The 18,678-nt window shown below is 38.1% G+C and overlaps 1 protein-coding gene across 4 annotated transcripts in view; it reads left to right on the plus strand.

Moving 5' to 3' along the window:
- VCAN (versican) overlaps positions 1-18,678 on the plus strand; it is a 110,559-nt gene that overhangs the window by 33,456 nt on the left and 58,425 nt on the right. For 2 of the 4 annotated variants that reach the window (NM_004385.5, NM_001164098.2), the window contains exons 6-7: positions 6,904-7,197; positions 14,150-17,110. In NM_004385.5, the coding sequence (NP_004376.2) occupies positions 6,904-7,197; positions 14,150-17,110 (3,255 nt within the window). The remainder of the gene's footprint in view (positions 1-6,903; positions 7,198-14,149; positions 17,111-18,678) is intronic. The other 2 variants (NM_001164097.2, NM_001126336.3) reach the window with 1 other exon arrangement.

Genomic DNA, 18,678 nt, shown 5'->3' on the forward strand with positions numbered 1-18,678 from the left:
GTTCCCCAAAGTCTTAACTCATTTCAGCATTAACCCAAAAGTCCACAGTCCAAAGTCTCATTTGAGACAAGGCAAGTCCCTTCCGCCTAGGAGCCTGTAAAAATCAAAAGCAAACTAGTTACTTCCTAGATACAATGGGGATACAGGTATTGGGTAAATACACCCATTCCAAATGGGAGAATTTGGCCAAAAACAAAGGGGTTACAGGGCCCATGCAAGTCCAAAATCCAGTGGAGCAGCCACATTTTAAAGCTCCAAAATGATCTCCTTTGACTGCAGGTCTCACACCCAGGTCACGCTGATGCAAGAGGTAGGTTCTTATGGTCTCGGGCAGCTCAGCCCCTGTGGCTTTGCAGGGTACAGCCTCCCTCCTGCCTGCTTTCATGGGCTAGTATTGAGTGTCTGCAGCTTTCCCGGGCACACAGTGCAAGCTGTCAGTGGATCTACCATTCTGGGTTCTGGAAGATGGTGGCCCTCTTTTCACAGCTCCAGTAGGGAGTGCCCCTGTAGGGACTCTGTCTGGGGGCTCCAACCCCACATTTCCCTTCTGCACTGCCCTAGCAGAGGTTCTCCATGAGGGCCCCACCCCTACAGCAAACTTCTGCCTGGGCAGCTAGGCATTTCCATACATCTTATGAAATCTAGGCAGAGGTTCCCCAACCTCAGTTCTTGACTTCTGTGCACCCACAGGCTCAACACCACATGGAAGCTGCCAAGGTTTGGGGCTTCCACCCTCTGAAGCCACAGCCCAAGCTGTACACTGGCCCCACTCAGCCACGGTTTGAGTGGCTGGGGCACAGGGTACCAATTCCCCAAGCTGCATACAGCACGGGGACCCTGGGCCTGGCCCATGAAACCACTTTTTCCTCCTGGGCCTCCAGGCCTATGATGGGAGTGGCTGCTGTGAAGGTCTCTGACATGGCCTGAAGACATTTTATCCACGGTCTTGGGGATTAACGTTAGGCTCCTTGCTACTTATGCAAATTTCTGCAGCCGGCTTGAATTCCCCCGCAGAAAATGGGTTTTCCTTTTCTACTGCATAGTCAGGCTGCAATTTTTCAAAACTTTTTTGCTCTGCTTCCCTTATAAAACTGAATGCCTTTAACAGAACCCAAGTCACCTCTTGAATGCTTTGGTGCTTAGAAATTTCTTCCACCACATACTGTAAATCATCTTTCTCAAGTTCAAAGTTCCACAAATCTCTAGGGCAGGGGCAAAATGCCACCAGTCTCTTTGCTAAAACATAACAAGAGTCACCTTTCTTCCAGTCCCCAAGTCCTTCATCTCCATCTGAGACCAACCCAGCCTGGACCTTATTGTCAATATCATCAGCATTTTGGGCAAAGCCATTCAACAAGCCTCTAGGAAGTTCCAAACTTTCCCACATTTTCCTCTCTTCTTCTGAGCCCTCCAAACTCTTCTAACCCCTGCCTGTTACCCAGTTCCAACATTGCTTCCACATTTTCGGGTATCTTTTCAGCAACACCCCACTGTACTGGTACCAATTTACTGTATTAGTTTATTTTCACACTGCTGATAAAGGCATACCCGAGACTGAGAAGAAAAAGAGGTTTAATTGGACTTATATTTCCACATGGTTGGGGAGGCCTCAGAATCTTGGCGAGAGGTGAAAGGCACTTCTTACATGGCAGCGGCAAGAGAAAATGAGGAAGAAGCAAAAGCAGAAAGCCCCTGATAAACCCATGAGATCTTTTGAGACTTATTAACTATCATGAGAATAGCACGGGGAAGACTGGCCCCCATTATTCAAGTACCTTCCCGTGGGTCCCTTCCACAACACATGGGAATTTTGGGAGATACAATTCAAGCTGAGATTTGGGTGGGGACACAGCCAAATCATATCACTTGACATTTTATTTACTGTTTTCAATTAGAGAAAAATAAAACATTTTCTCATGGATAGGTAACATTTAGAAACATGTTCCAAATCTGTGCTCTAATTACAACTTTGATAATTGTCCTATCAATTTAGCTGCTTTGATGAGGCTACTCCTGGAACTTATTAACAGGCTTCTTGTCAAACTACAAAAAAGATGCTTGTTTTCCAGGAAAGCAACTATCCGTTAAATCTAAGAATACATTAAATTGTTCAGGTACAAGTATCCAGGAGCAGAGATAGAACACAACTTTGTTCTATGCTACTAAAATAGTCATTTTCTCTCACTGAAGGCTGTGCATTCCCTGTCTAACTCTAAAGGTTGTACTGTGATTAAAAACTCAGAAAGAACTTTTATTATTCACATCAGAGATAAAAAGGTGGCTTTATGATACCCTCTGGGTAGGAGCTTACACAGTTGGGCCAATTAAATCATGTTGAGAGAGAGCAACTAAGCAAACGTGCCTATTTGATTTGCTTGATTTCCCATGTTTGCTGTGATCAGTGGCTTTCTCTTTTGTCTGTTCCTTGGATTCCTGATTTGGCTTTGCCTCTAGGCATTAGATGTTATCTTTGGAGGCATCCTTCTATGAGCATTCATTTTTGGACCAAGCCTGGATTTACAATTCTATTACTGGCCCAGACTTCATTTCTATCCAATTTCATTCCACTGTGCTATAGTTTACAACATATAATTTGACTTATAAATAATTCCTGACTATGGGTTTAAAGACTGAAAATGGATCAATAGAAACTTTGAAAATGTTAACATCTTGATTGCTTTTCTCAGTGTAGAAATGGACAATGTTTAGCTTAAAAACTGCATGTTTTTAATGAGATACGGGGTTGAAAGACTTATTCCTGGAATTTATTGTTCTGGAGAAAGCCTGTTGCTATCTGCCATACCTTGGTTTACTTTGTGCAAAATGAGCTTCTTTTTAAGTAATGAGCTCTTTCCATGTTCAGCTTAAATTGCTGTCTTAGACACTTCATCAGGGTTCCCTGCTCTGCCTCATTCCCCTTTTTGCTCACTTGCAGCCTTTGACATAATCCTGGGAGGCAATTGGCATCATACATATTTTGCTTTGTAATCTCCTGCTTTGATTCTGACTGGGTACCCAGTCTGCTCACTTTGCTTCTATCTTAAACAGGTTGACACATACCAGAAACTTAGTACTAAGTTATGTGTGTTGTAAGTTAATTGAGAGTCCTCTTCTTGATTAAAATATAGGTCTTTAGAACAGTGTTTTCCAAAATATTCCACAAAACAAATTTATGTACAGATGTCCCTGCCTTAATAATAGAGGGTTGATACATGGAAAGGACAGAAGTTTGGACATTTAACTTATCACGTTTGGTATAGATTGGGTGTTAGTTATAAGAGATTAAAGACATACTCAATTCTATAGTGTAAATGCTTCACTATATCATTAGGTTTTTGAGGTGAGCAAGGAAATGTTCACACTAAACAATTATGATTTAGGAAGGCTTAAATAGTTATTTTTTAGAACAGAATTTAAGTCACTTTTTTCCTTTTCTCATTATTCTGAAATAAAGTAATTATTGCTGAATAAAATAACTGACTGCACGTTATCTTAACAGATTAATTCTTTTAATCCTCACCTTAAAGTAAACTCAATTGATTCTGGTTAAATCTTCCTTTTTTTCATCTGAATTACAAGAAACCCAATGGTAATGTTTCTTGCAATATGTTTTATAAAAATTTTATTTGGAAAGTTTGAAAAATTTCTACACATAATTGAAAAGGATAAGTTGGGCACAGTGGTGCCTGCGTGTAGTCCCAGCTACTCAGGAAGCTGAGGCAAGGAGGATTGCTGGAGGCAAGGAAGTTGAGGACAGAGTGTGCTATGATCATGCCTGTGAATAGCCACTGCACTCCTGCCTGGACAATTTAGCAAGACTCTATCTTTTTTGAAAAGAAAGAAAGAAAGAAAGAGAAAGAAAGAAAAGAAAGAAAGAAAGAAAGAGAAAGAAAGAAGGAAGGAAGGAAGGAAAGAAAGAAAGAAAGAAATGGCATTAGGGATAACAGAATTTAATCAAAGTAGTAAAATGATCATTCTATGGGTATCAAACAAATAAATGAATATCGTATACTTCAAACAAGTGAGTTAAATAATTGATAGTCTGATATAAAGTCAGATTTAACAAGAGTTTCTACATGAAAAGTTCTATAAGTAGGTCTGAACTGATTAACTACTACTAAGAGAATTCTCTTTGTAACAGGCCAGCACCTACTGAAGCCTTTCTTTCTTTTAATACTGCAAACATGTTTGCTGTTTAAAATAGGGAAACCAGCTACCCATGAAATCATGCTGCCATTTTTTCCTCATTAGCCCTTTGGTCTGGTCTTCCTTGGAGAAGTTGATGTTCCTCAATAGATAGACTAACAGTGCAGTTGGAGAAGCAGAGTTTTACTCAATTAATTATATTTCTTTGCCCTTCCGTGGTTGGCTGATAACACTTGTTACTTAAGAGGAATGGTAGTTTCGCCTTAAGGTAGGAGTATCTCAGGAAATGCAGGAAACTAAGGCAACACAACTAATATTCCAGCTGTAATAACAAGTCCAAGGGTTCTACCTCTCAGGGAAAACTGTTGGCACGCTGCCTTCTTTACACTTGCAGCCCTTTCAGGCCTCAGGCAAGTGTTATTCTGAGGTGAAGGAGGCTGTTCAGGATGACGTAATTTCTCTGTCTGCCTTTCTCCATGTTGCTTTGAGCCAAGTCTATTGTGAGATAAAATGCCTGTTTCAGGCAGCAGCCATCTCTCCAAAGCTTTGTAGCAGAGTTAGCTTTATTTAATGTGCTGTTGGGAAGGATAGGGGGAAAAAAGAGACCTAGCTTCTTAATAAGAACTTGAAGTGCCATTCATTTAACAAATCTTATTGAATACATACTATGTAACTGGCCCTGTGACCCTTATGCTTTTAAAATTTATTAGGAAGGGAGACGTTGTGAGAGCCGGGAGGGGAACTTTTTCTTAGAGTGTATTGTTGTATTTGAGATTACTGTCTTTTGCCAGACTAGATAATTAAGAATAAAAAGCTATGTACACCTCTACCACTTCTTTCAGTCAGGTGAAAGTAATTTCTCTCTCCCTTCTTCAAATAGCTCTCATTGAAATTTGGCCTACTTTCCTCAATAGCAATTTTAGATATATAGTGAGAAAAGCCGATATGTGTGCTTTGGCCATTTTCCCCATGACTAATTTTTCTTGTTTTATAGTGCTATCACCCACTCAGAGAAAGTAATAGCACTATTCATTTTAAACAATTGCTTGATACATCTGGATTTAGTCAGGTGAAGATCCAAATCATGACAGCTCTTTGGATCCCAGTTGTCTAATATATCATAGAATCAGAGATCAGCTTCAGTGAGATGGAAACAGTACTCTCAGCTACAATAGTGGGCTATCAACATTTTAACTTTCTGTTTCAGTTTTCATTTCTCCTCCTGACTGTGATATTGGCTTAGGTATTCTATAATTCTGCTTCTGTCTTTGGTTACTTTTGCTCACATGTGAAAAACATAATTTAATTTGTGTGGAATTTATTTCAGCAAACTGTTATGTTAGTTAGCTAAGTAAAATTCCAACTTAACAAACTCTGAAGTTTCCAGAATCTTTCATTGTAACATGTTAAATGATAATGAATATACCCTCTGCTAATTAGACTTGGTAATAAACAAAGCAACTGTCCAGCCTTTTCTTGTTAATCAATCAGCAAATTAAAAAACCTCTTTAACCAATCTCACCACTTTGGGAGGCCGAGGCGGGTGGATCACGAGGTCAGGAGTTTGAGGCCAGCCTGGCCAACATGGCAAAACCCCGTCTCCACTAAAAATACAAAAATTAGCTGGGCGTGGTGGCAGGTGCCTGTAATCCCAGCTACTTGGGAGGCTGAGGCAGGAGAATCGCTTGAACCCGGGAGGTGTAGGTTGCAGTGAGCCCAGATCGTGCCACTGCACTGCAGCCTGGGCTACTGAGCCTCCATCTGGGGCCCGAGTGAGTGGGGTGTTGGGGGAGTCTTTCTCTCTTTTTTTTTTCGAGACGGAGTCTCGCTGTGTCGCCCAGGCTGGAGTGTGGTGGTGCAATCTCAGCTCACTGCAACCTCTGCCTCCCGGGTTCAAGCGATTCTCCTAAAAAAAAAAGAAGTCTCTTGAACCTAGTTAAAGCCCCTACTAGCACTTGGGGTGTCTTTGTAAGAATTAGCAAAAAGTGCTCCCTCTGCACAGAGCAAGTAAAACAAAGGCTTTATCCAAAGAGGCTGGAGTTCCTTTGGCTGGCTGAGTGGGAGGCGACCTAGGCCTTCCCTACACACTGGGCCTGGTGCTCCTGTGCAGGCCGCGACCTTCGTAACCATCATGGCAGCCCTGTGCCTGATACGGGAAGGCAGGAAGTAGAATTCTGTACCACTTCTGAGCCCTTCCCATCTTCACATTTCTGGAGGTTTTCTTATTTTTTTTTTTTTTTATTTAATGGCGTTAATCCACTTTGTCGGTAGTTATAAATGAGAAGGAAGGCCAGAGAATTACTATTTGATTTTAGGATAAACAAAGTGGAATAACCGTGGTGGCAGTTCAATGCAAGGTTTCCCTTCCAATATGCAATGTTAGGAAGCACATAGCAGACTTTTTCCTTAAAAAAACAAAAACCTGGATAGTAATCTAAAGAATCACTCAGAAGGATTTGTTCATTTTAAAGAATGTATTATAAAATGTTATTAAATGACTGATTCTATGGCCAATGTACACACACACATACACGTATAGAATAAAACTTCTCGGGTATGTGTTATTTATGATTATGTATTCATAATTATAACGAAGCTAAGTCACCATTATCTTTTCTGCTTTAAAGTATCAGAAGCTGCTACCTTGCCATGAAAAAGTATTACATGCTCCTCCAATTCCTTCCCCACCATATTTATCCAACAGGAAAGGAATGAATAATAAAACTTTGGGCTTTTTTTCCCTTCTTTTTTTTCCAGGTGATGTGTTCCACCTCACTGTCCCCAGTAAATTCACCTTCGAGGAGGCTGCAAAAGAGTGTGAAAACCAGGATGCCAGGCTGGCAACAGTGGGGGAACTCCAGGCGGCATGGAGGAACGGCTTTGACCAGTGCGATTACGGGTGGCTGTCGGATGCCAGCGTGCGCCACCCTGTGACTGTGGCCAGGGCCCAGTGTGGAGGTGGTCTACTTGGGGTGAGAACCCTGTATCGTTTTGAGAACCAGACAGGCTTCCCTCCCCCTGATAGCAGATTTGATGCCTACTGCTTTAAACGTAAGTGTTTGATACCTTTTTAAAAATTACAGTTTTAAAAAAAATGCTTCGAAGCATGCATTGATGTTCAACTAGCCGTTGGAGTGGATTCCATGTCTTGCAGTGTGTGCACGGAATGGAAACAGTTCAGTGATTTTCAAAAGCAAGCAAACTGAACAGCAGTGATATGGTTAAAACCACAGGAATTTTGGCAAATGGATTTTTAGAGGGGTGAGGAAATATCAGGTTAAGCTGTAACTGTGCTCTGTTGTGTCCAGAGCCACAGAGCATTTTTCTAAGTATTTTATATTAATTGCAGTCCTTAAGTTTTGCAATTTGTTTATTGGTGTTACAATGCCAAGGCCAACTGAGGCTGAGTTAAATCCTTAAGATTGTTGATTTTGTCTTCGGTATCACTCTGTTTCTTTGAGATGGCAAAGAATTTAAATTTCAGTAATTACAGGTGAGTATTTGAAGCTGACATGGATACTCAAAATGTTCAAGTCATAACTAAAAATGAACCATACTATCAATAAAAATCTCCATTTATGTCAAGTAATGGAAATACATGCCTTCTAATCATTAATTCTGTAGTATCATATTGACGTACAATATGTGTTCTTTGCAACCTATAACAGAGTATCTTTAGTTAGGTTTACTAATTAACATTTTTTTTTAAATAACATTTCTCAACATTCATGATATAATTATTTTAATTTTCCAGATGTCCTCAAGTAATTTTAGCAGTAGTAGTCACATGATATAGTATCATAGTTGTAGAATGCAAATTAAACAAGCAAGTAATCTAGCATCTCATTGGAATATTTACTGAACCATCTATACTATGCTAGCTAAACAAAGATCTCCCAGAATTTTGGTGACCTTGGGTAATATCCAAGACAGAGTTAGGTTATGTTGAAACAAATTTGTAAACAACTTTGACTAAATTTCCAATGTATCTTGTTATAGCAATATGTCTCTAAAACGAGTACAAAATGTACTAGCTTATTATATAATTGATTTCTAGAGTGAAATACACAGGCATTTTTAAGCAACCAAAAATACACAGACTGTGATGTTCTAGGTAGTCAGTAGAATGGATGTTAATGCAACCAAAAGGTTTGTTTTCACACTTTTATCTCCTAGCTAAGAAGCCTCTGCTCTGATCTCCTCCCTTAGACTCAACTTTCTGAGTGTTAAAGCCATGTGTTCTGTATTAGCTTGCCACAAGCTGGTCGCTCCATAAAGACTGTAGAAAATGCTGGCTTTTGTTCTCAGGCCCTGAAACAACAGAATTCTTCCTTAATCATTTTCAGGAAAACAACAATAGCATAAACCTTATCTCTAAAAGTAGACAGATGTACATTCCTTTAAGCTACATTGTCACAACAATGATTTTTCAAGTACTTCAGGCTCTAAAATCAGTTTTACATTACGTGACTGATATAATTAAGGAGCAAAATCAGATTGGTATGCTGTGGGGAAGGCATTGGAGAGGTTAAATTAGGGAACGAATAGAATTATCCAGCCTGACTTCCTTATTTGATATTTTCTTGTGCTTTATTAATAAAACTGGCACTGGAAAACTTTTAAACAACATTTTTCGTCTCTCTGTGGGTAAAATTTAAATCAAAGCCTGTCTGTAGCCACAAAGACTATTATTAAAGAATTCATCCTGATGTGTTTTAAATTATTTATTTAATTGAAAAATACACATGAAATAACAAGGTACTTATGTTTAAATAGAGTAACCAAAATCTGCACAAAATTCAAAAAATGTTTAAAAGTTTATATTCATTTTTATCTCTCTAATTCATTTACATGTATGTAACTTGTAAATATAATGGACTCATTATTTTGCTTTCCTTCCCACCTAAGCATGTGGCTAGATTCTTATTTATTTCCTACTTAAGACGTTATTATATTCAGAATTCATTTAGTGCGTAGAAGGTTAAAAGCATTTAGCCATATAGAAGCCTTTCTTAAACCACACATAATGCCAATAGTTTTCCAAAATTTCTAATTTATTTTTCAAAAAATTTTTTAGTGTATATGTGTGTGTGTGTGTGTGTGTGTATTTTTTTTTTTTTTTGAGGTGGAGTTTCGCTCTTGTTGCCCAGGCTGGAGTGCAATGGTGCCATCTCAGCTCACTGCAAGCTTCACCTTCCAGGTTCAAGTGATTCTCCTGCCTTCTCCTGCCTCAGCCACCCAAGTAGCTGGGTTATAGGCATGCGCCACCGTGCCCGGCTAATTTTGTGTTTTTAGTAGAGATGGGGTTTCATCATGTTGGTCAGGTTGGTCTCGAACTCCTGACCTCAGGTGATCCACCCATTTTGGCTTCCCAAAGTGCTGGGATTACAGGAGTGAGCCACTGCTCCTGGCCTAGTATATATTTTTAAAGAATTTGAAAAATATTTTCAAAATGACTTAATTGATGTCCACCTTTCCCACATAGTCAAGTAGTGACTAAATTCTGTAGGGTAAAATTCATAAGAGTCATGGCCTCAGCTACAGTTCCAAAGTGATTTCAGAGATATACAGCTGGCTGGTTATGTAGAGGAATTTAGAAATATAACCATATTTTTCTTGTTTGCTTCTACCAAACGTAGAAAGTGTTTTTTAAGTCACTTGGTGAATAAACAATGCCAAATCGTACCTTGCTTTAATTCCCTTTGCCTCACAAAGTCACTGACTAAAACATTCACAAAGACAGATAAAAGACATAAAATTAGGCTTTATTCTTTTCAAATAAATTTGAAAAGTAAGCAAAGTAATGTCTTTGTAAGATAAAGTTTTCCTGTATATCTTCTCTTAATGATTAAACAATTTTGCATATTTAGTTTTTTACTTCAGAATTTAGCAAGTTCTGTGAAAGTTGGAGAGTTATACAAGGCTTTGAAAGATCATTTCATACATCCCCAAACTTAAGTGAATCAAAACCATTCAAAACTCATGATAATCTCTCACAGAATGTGATTAATTATCTCCAGGAGAGGGAGATGGAACATGTTTCCTAGAAAACTCATTCTAATATTCCATGACCTTCACTCTCAGATAATTTTTCTAATTAAGTACTTTGCATTTGAATTTGAACCCATGTTTTCATTTTTGAGTTGGAGACCAAAATCTGAATAACAGCCATTTCTATTGTTGATCACAATTGTTTATTTATCCCTCAGCATCTTCTCCAACTGAAACAGTTTTCTTGTTTTACAGTTTCAATCTCCAAATTTCTAATTATTGATATGTTCTTGCTTTGAAGTTTCATCATTGTTTAGCACATTCCTCTATTTATGCTTAAGTTTAGAAATCAAGATGGTGGTCCAGAGAAGGCTAAATTAATTCCCACCACTTTCTATCCTATCTTATATACTCATTCACTGTTAAAATTTGCCTGCCCTTCTAACCTTTGGTTAGTTCATTATCTTTTTTGTGTGTGCCCTAGTTCATAATCTGACCACATGTGCCAAAACTAACCTTTCCCCGATTGGTATATTACAAATGTTTCCTGTTTATTGAATTTGAATTTGTTAGCATTCCATCACTCATATAACTTTAAAAAGATAGTTTGAATTGGCCGGGCGCGGTCGCTCACGCCTGTAATCCCAGCATTTTGGGAGGCCAAGGTGGGCGGATCATGAGGTCAGGAGATCGAGACCATCCTGGCTAACACGGTGAAACCCCATCTCTACTAAAAATACAAAAAATTAGCCGGGCATGGTGGCGGGCGCCTGTAGTCCCAGTCCCTAACCCAAACCCTAACCCTAACCCTAACCCTATCCCTAGCCTGTAGTCCCAGTCGGGAGGCTGAGGCAGGAGAATGGCGTGAACCTGGGAGGTGGAGCTTGCAGTGAGACAAGATTGTGCCACTGCACTCCAGCCTGGACTACAGAGCAAGACTCTGTCTCAAAAAAAAAAATTATATATATAGAGTTTGAATTGTAATTTCACTGCTCCAATCTTTACAGTTTTATAACCATGTTTACATTTAGTTATGTATAACAAATTTAATATAGAAGAACCAAGTTAAAATTAGTCATTTCTCAATAATGTAGAGAGCATGGGAATAAGTTAAATTGACTATCATGCTGCTAATGGGGGTTTTAAGTTTTATTAGGAAAATCTGTCTCATGTCTCGCAACAGAAGCAGAGAAGATGGCCCATAGGACAAAAATGCCATAAGTACAGTGATGTGAAACATCTGTGGGCAGACAGCTGCAAAGGTTGGAAAGGAACTTTTGTGGGAAAAGAATCGTGTTGATTTATGTTGGCTTCCTCAATAATAAAGTTGAAGGAATACTGGTAGTTTTCCAGAGCCAAAACTTCTCCATGTGAATGCACCTATTGGAAGGACACTGTTAGAATAATCTGGAATTGTTTTTACCTTTACAATAGTCATCAGAATACAGTGGTATTTATTCTTAAAATATCTCTTCGTAGATATTGTGCTTTATAAAATTATTTCCTTTTGTGGAATGGTTGAAACAAATGGCACAAATCCTCAGATACACTGACTTGTGATCAAAATCAGCTGTTAAGTTGATGAAAAAGCCACCCAAACTGAAAAGGAAGTCTGAGGTTTTCCATTCCAAGTAGTAGAATTAATTAACTTAATTATAAGCAGACCTTTTCTTTTTTAAAATAGGGCTCTAAAATTATTGAAAACCCTTGTTTTTGGAAACAAAGTCACATAAATACTGGCTTTCTAGAACAGATTCTCTAGGACATATTGCTACCACTTTATTACACAGCAGGACTAGAGGAAGGAATGCAACAGCAAACTCCATAGTAATAATTGACAATGAAATCTAGTTATTTAGTTTTAAAAATATGAGTCAACTTTTAAAACACTATAAACATATTTTCATAGCATTGTAGAAAGTTGCTAGCAGAGAGCTTGGATTGGAACATAGGAAGCCTGGATTCACAGCCCCTTTGGCCCTAATGCAATTGTACCTGTTTCTAAGTTAATTTCATCAGCCAAGGAAATACTCAGAGGGAAAAAGTAAATTTAGCTTTTTTGTTGTTATTAATAATAATATGATTAAATTTTCTCTAATATGCTGTTTGCTAAGTATTTATATTATGTTTCCATGGGAACTTTTTCTGTATGTATCTTTTTACTATTTCCCCAAAGAATGCAGTTATAAGACAAACATGAAATTTGGCAGTTAAATGAAGTAATGGTTATGGAATTTCAGAGGATAGAGAATTGAATTAAAATAGTCATCCACATTTTGGGTTTTTAAGTTGTTCATGTCAATCAAAATAGAACAACGCTTCTTCCAGGAAATGAATGTAGAAAAAGCTTTTCTTTAAAAAGGGGAGGAAAAGGTTATTTAATGTTTTTAAACTCCAACTCTTTTTTGGTTAGTTTTGTTTTAATATTAGAAAGATAAATAATGACAGACTTTAAAGAATATTTAAATGTATCATAATGTAAATAGCCCTCAAATGTTCATGATAAAATCAGTGAAGCTGAGCTTTAAAATGGTCTGGGGAATGACCACAACTAATAACAGCTCGTGCCAGACAAAAAATAAGGAACCTGTTACAGCCCTAGTCTGATTTACAATAAAATCACATCATTTTATGATTAAGTTTTTACAGAGCAAATGGAGCTAAAAGGTAGCCTGTTTTGTTTTTTGAGGGCTCCTGTTCTGGAATTATTAAAAATAAAAAAGAAGATACTATAGATACTATGGCTATTACACCTCTTTTCAGGGCAAACAAGCATTTACTCATAAAACTAGCTTTAAGTCCTATAGGATGTAGCAAAACAATAACTACAGGTTTCTTCAGGACAGTTCTTTTGAGTTCAGTGGCAACTATTAATAGGTTTTTATTTTTAAAAATACTGATTTTTATTTTAAAAAAACAATCATTATATAGTAGGCTGCTGCCTTTTCCCTGTGTTGAGAAAGAATCTTGTTTACAAACTGTTGCTTTTATACACAATTTAAATTTCTTTCAACAGGCCAGGCCATTCTCTGTAAATCTGGAGCCATTATAATGCAGCATTTTATGATGACAGGTTACTTTATATTGCCTGAGCCTGTTCTTTCTGATGCTTAGGGTTGTTCCCAGTGATTTGTAATTACAGACCTAAAATACATTATGTGGGTACTTTACTTCCTGTTCTACATTTGTGTTTCAGGCTAAAGTAAGCCTGGAAACAAGATCCTTAGGAGATACAAACAGAGTGTGTAGAACATAGAACAAAATGTAGAACTACAACAAATGCCGACTAGCCTCTGCCAGGCACATTTTATAATTTATTAGAAACAAATCTACACCATGAAGTTGAAAGAAGGATGAAGACAAATGTCCAACACCTGGGATCAAGTGAAGAGTGGTATTAAAAAGTTTTAATATCCTGTTTTTATGAAAGTCTCCACATTATGGACAATGTAATGGTTTATATGTAACTTGGATACATTTCATGTGGCTTTTTTGTTGTTTTGCAATCTGAGACACACCCTCTCCCCTGAGATAATATGCAGCAACTTGAAAAGAAGGGAGCATGTGGAGAAAGCTGGAGACAGGGTACAGAAGCCTCCAGAAGAATAGTACTAAATTCTCCTGCGAGGCTTCAAGTTGACGCTGTAGTTTCTGGTAAATAAACAATCTACTGTATCTAAAATCTGCATTTATATTTTTGGGAGCTTTTCCTTATCTTAAAACTACATAATATTAATTTTCCTCAACTGGTAACAGTCATGCATACTTTTAGGTAAAAGCAGTGATAACCCTTATAACGTAAAACAACTGATCAATTTATGACTATTAAGTGTTCAATTATCTGTCCTTGGGTTAATTCAAGTATAGTTTTAAGACTCCTCTCCATCACAGAACATTTCTGGGCCACCCAAAAATACTCCCTACAAAATACTCAGGAGCACTTAACAAACACTGGGCATACAAGTTTTTATTAGTGACTTGTCTAATCAACTCTTTGAAATTATTTTTCTAGCTAAAGAGGCTACAACCATCGATTTGAGTATCCTCGCAGAAACTGCATCACCCAGTTTATCCAAAGAACCACAAATGGTTTCTGATAGAACTACACCAATCATCCCTTTAGTTGATGAATTACCTGTCATTCCAACAGAGTTCCCTCCCGTGGGAAATATTGTCAGTTTTGAACAGAAAGCCACAGTCCAACCTCAGGCTATCACAGATAGTTTAGCCACCAAATTACCCACACCTACTGGCAGTACCAAGAAGCCCTGGGATATGGATGACTACTCACCTTCTGCTTCAGGACCTCTTGGAAAGCTAGACATATCAGAAATTAAGGAAGAAGTGCTCCAGAGTACAACTGGCGTCTCTCATTATGCTACGGATTCATGGGATGGTGTCGTGGAAGATAAACAAACACAAGAATCGGTTACACAGATTGAACAAATAGAAGTGGGTCCTTTGGTAACATCTATGGAAATCTTAAAGCACATTCCTTCCAAGGAATTCCCTGTAACTGAAACACCATTGGTAACTGCAAGAATGATCCTGGAATCCAAAACTGAAAAGAAAATGGTAAGCACTGTTTCTGAATTGGTAACCACAGGTCACTATGGATTCACCTTGGGAGAAGAGGATGATGAAGACAGAACACTTACAGTTGGATCTGATGAGAGCACCTTGATCTTTGACCAAATTCCTGAAGTCATTACGGTGTCAAAGACTTCAGAAGACACCATCCACACTCATTTAGAAGACTTGGAGTCAGTCTCAGCATCCACAACTGTTTCCCCTTTAATTATGCCTGATAATAATGGATCATCCATGGATGACTGGGAAGAGAGACAAACTAGTGGTAGGATAACGGAAGAGTTTCTTGGCAAATATCTGTCTACTACACCTTTTCCATCACAGCATCGTACAGAAATAGAATTGTTTCCTTATTCTGGTGATAAAATATTAGTAGAGGGAATTTCCACAGTTATTTATCCTTCTCTACAAACAGAAATGACACATAGAAGAGAAAGAACAGAAACACTAATACCAGAGATGAGAACAGATACTTATACAGATGAAATACAAGAAGAGATCACTAAAAGTCCATTTATGGGAAAAACAGAAGAAGAAGTCTTCTCTGGGATGAAACTCTCTACATCTCTCTCAGAGCCAATTCATGTTACAGAGTCTTCTGTGGAAATGACCAAGTCTTTTGATTTCCCAACATTGATAACAAAGTTAAGTGCAGAGCCAACAGAAGTAAGAGATATGGAGGAAGACTTTACAGCAACTCCAGGTACTACAAAATATGATGAAAATATTACAACAGTGCTTTTGGCCCATGGTACTTTAAGTGTTGAAGCAGCCACTGTATCAAAATGGTCATGGGATGAAGATAATACAACATCCAAGCCTTTAGAGTCTACAGAACCTTCAGCCTCTTCAAAATTGCCCCCTGCCTTACTCACAACTGTGGGGATGAATGGAAAGGATAAAGACATCCCAAGTTTCACTGAAGATGGAGCAGATGAATTTACTCTTATTCCAGATAGTACTCAAAAGCAGTTAGAGGAGGTTACTGATGAAGACATAGCAGCCCATGGAAAATTCACAATTAGATTTCAGCCAACTACATCAACTGGTATTGCAGAAAAGTCAACTTTGAGAGATTCTACAACTGAAGAAAAAGTTCCACCTATCACAAGCACTGAAGGCCAAGTTTATGCAACCATGGAAGGAAGTGCTTTGGGTGAAGTAGAAGATGTGGACCTCTCTAAGCCAGTATCTACTGTTCCCCAATTTGCACACACTTCAGAGGTGGAAGGATTAGCATTTGTTAGTTATAGTAGCACCCAAGAGCCTACTACTTATGTAGACTCTTCCCATACCATTCCTCTTTCTGTAATTCCCAAGACAGACTGGGGAGTGTTAGTACCTTCTGTTCCATCAGAAGATGAAGTTCTAGGTGAACCCTCTCAAGACATACTTGTCATTGATCAGACTCGCCTTGAAGCGACTATTTCTCCAGAAACTATGAGAACAACAAAAATCACAGAGGGAACAACTCAGGAAGAATTCCCTTGGAAAGAACAGACTGCAGAGAAACCAGTTCCTGCTCTCAGTTCTACAGCTTGGACTCCCAAGGAGGCAGTAACACCACTGGATGAACAAGAGGGCGATGGATCAGCATATACAGTCTCTGAAGATGAATTGTTGACAGGTTCTGAGAGGGTCCCAGTTTTAGAAACAACTCCAGTTGGAAAAATTGATCACAGTGTGTCTTATCCACCAGGTGCTGTAACTGAGCACAAAGTGAAAACAGATGAAGTGGTAACACTAACACCACGCATTGGGCCAAAAGTATCTTTAAGTCCAGGGCCTGAACAAAAATATGAAACAGAAGGTAGTAGTACAACAGGATTTACATCATCTTTGAGTCCTTTTAGTACCCACATTACCCAGCTTATGGAAGAAACCACTACTGAGAAAACATCCCTAGAGGATATTGATTTAGGCTCAGGATTATTTGAAAAGCCCAAAGCCACAGAACTCATAGAATTTTCAACAATCAAAGTCACAGTTCCAAGTGATATTACCACTGCCTTCAGTTCAGTAGACAGACTTCACACAACTTCAGCATTCAAGCCATCTTCCGCGATCACTAAGAAACCACCTCTCATCGACAGGGAACCTGGTGAAGAAACAACCAGTGACATGGTAATCATTGGAGAATCAACATCTCATGTTCCTCCCACTACCCTTGAAGATATTGTAGCCAAGGAAACAGAAACCGATATTGATAGAGAGTATTTCACGACTTCAAGTCCTCCTGCTACACAGCCAACAAGACCACCCACTGTGGAAGACAAAGAGGCCTTTGGACCTCAGGCGCTTTCTACGCCACAGCCCCCAGCAAGCACAAAATTTCACCCTGACATTAATGTTTATATTATTGAGGTCAGAGAAAATAAGACAGGTAAGTCTTTGCTTTCTAGACTAGCATTGAAGGCAATCCTCATTTTATCTTGAAAGTTACTTTTGGGGAAAAAAAGTCAACATACCAAATGCTGCTATTAGAAGATAACTGGAGTGTGAAAAATAAATGTTTTAGCTTCATATATTTGTACAAGAATTGGAAGAATATGTTAAACAATGTGGAAGAATGTTAGATACAATTTTATGTTAAAAGTCATAAGAAGCCCTGCTTTGTCATCTAATATAACCAAATCATCACTGTTACATCACTTCAAAACATGCAGAACAAAGTGTTTTAATTTCAGTGTCTTTTCATACATTACTACTCAAGTGTAGCACTAGACTGTGTTAACATTCCATTGGTCTTTAACTATTAACCTTCAGTACTTACAATGTGGACGGCTAAAATCGTTTTGCATATCCCTAAGGTTGACAGAAAGATATTTAAAGGTTTGCTTTGGTTTTTCTCTTCCAGGATTTTACAGGTTTATTATATGACTTGTGTGGTGGGTAATAGGTCTCTAATGTAAGTGTTATTTTAATGTAAATGCAACATATTCTTATGCTATTGTTTTGGGGTATTTTACTGTGGTTTTATCTATTTAGAGCAAGTACAACCTAGCTTAGTTGTAGGGAGTATTACAGTTTATTGTATTAAATATAATTTCAGAAGGTGGCTATATATTCATTATCCTTGCTTCCTAAAAACCAGGCTGTAGTGTTGTTCATTTTATGATTTAATTGTTTTACCGCTAGGAATATTTGTGATGCCTTCTATTCCACTCAAATATTTTAGCTCTCTGACAGAACTCTTAAAAGCTGTTTGTTTACATTGATTAATACTTGGAGTTGTCATGATCAAATACGATTTATTGCTGTCTAAAGGTGAGCCCACACCATCTTTTACATTTGATAAGCTGAGTTGAGAATATATAGCAAATGCAGTTCAATAAATCAATTCAGGTTTGTCTCTTTCTAGTTTAGAAATTACGATCATGGATTTTAGTTAATTTGCTATATTTTCATTTTCATATAAGAATTAAATGAATGAGTATTCGTTGTTTTCTTGACCTGGCTCTGAGAAGACAGGATAGAAGATTTTTTTTTTTTTTTTTAAGCAGGGTTCTCTCTTACTGTTGGAATATTCCCTTTCGAGTATCATTTTTCTGAAGACTGATGCTATCCTCATTAGAGTGCTCAGGAGTGCACCTATTGGAAACAAACAAGTAGCGTTATTGTCAAGTATGTTTGCATGTAGTGCTGTTGGTGGACACTTCATGGCTTCTATAGGTTTCTACTCTCCAGAATTTTCTGTGTGAAAGCTTTTGCTTGTCAGTGAATAGTAGAGAAGAGAACACACCCACAGAGTATTAAAATTAACCTCCACTTCCCAATGCAGTTTAAAAAGGACAGGATTTGATCATGATTTTCTTGCTAATGATATTGTTTCTTGGAAATCATAACATATTTCCTCTTTTCTACATCCTTTTCCATCTCTCGGAACTGGTGTAGGAAAAAGAAAATGAATTGCCAGTAAGTCGGAATGAGGATTGCGTTAGGCTGGAAAAG

The sequence above is a fragment of the Homo sapiens genome, chromosome 5 (assembly GCF_000001405.40).
Source record: "Homo sapiens chromosome 5, GRCh38.p14 Primary Assembly".
NCBI lineage: Eukaryota > Metazoa > Chordata > Mammalia > Primates > Hominidae > Homo > Homo sapiens.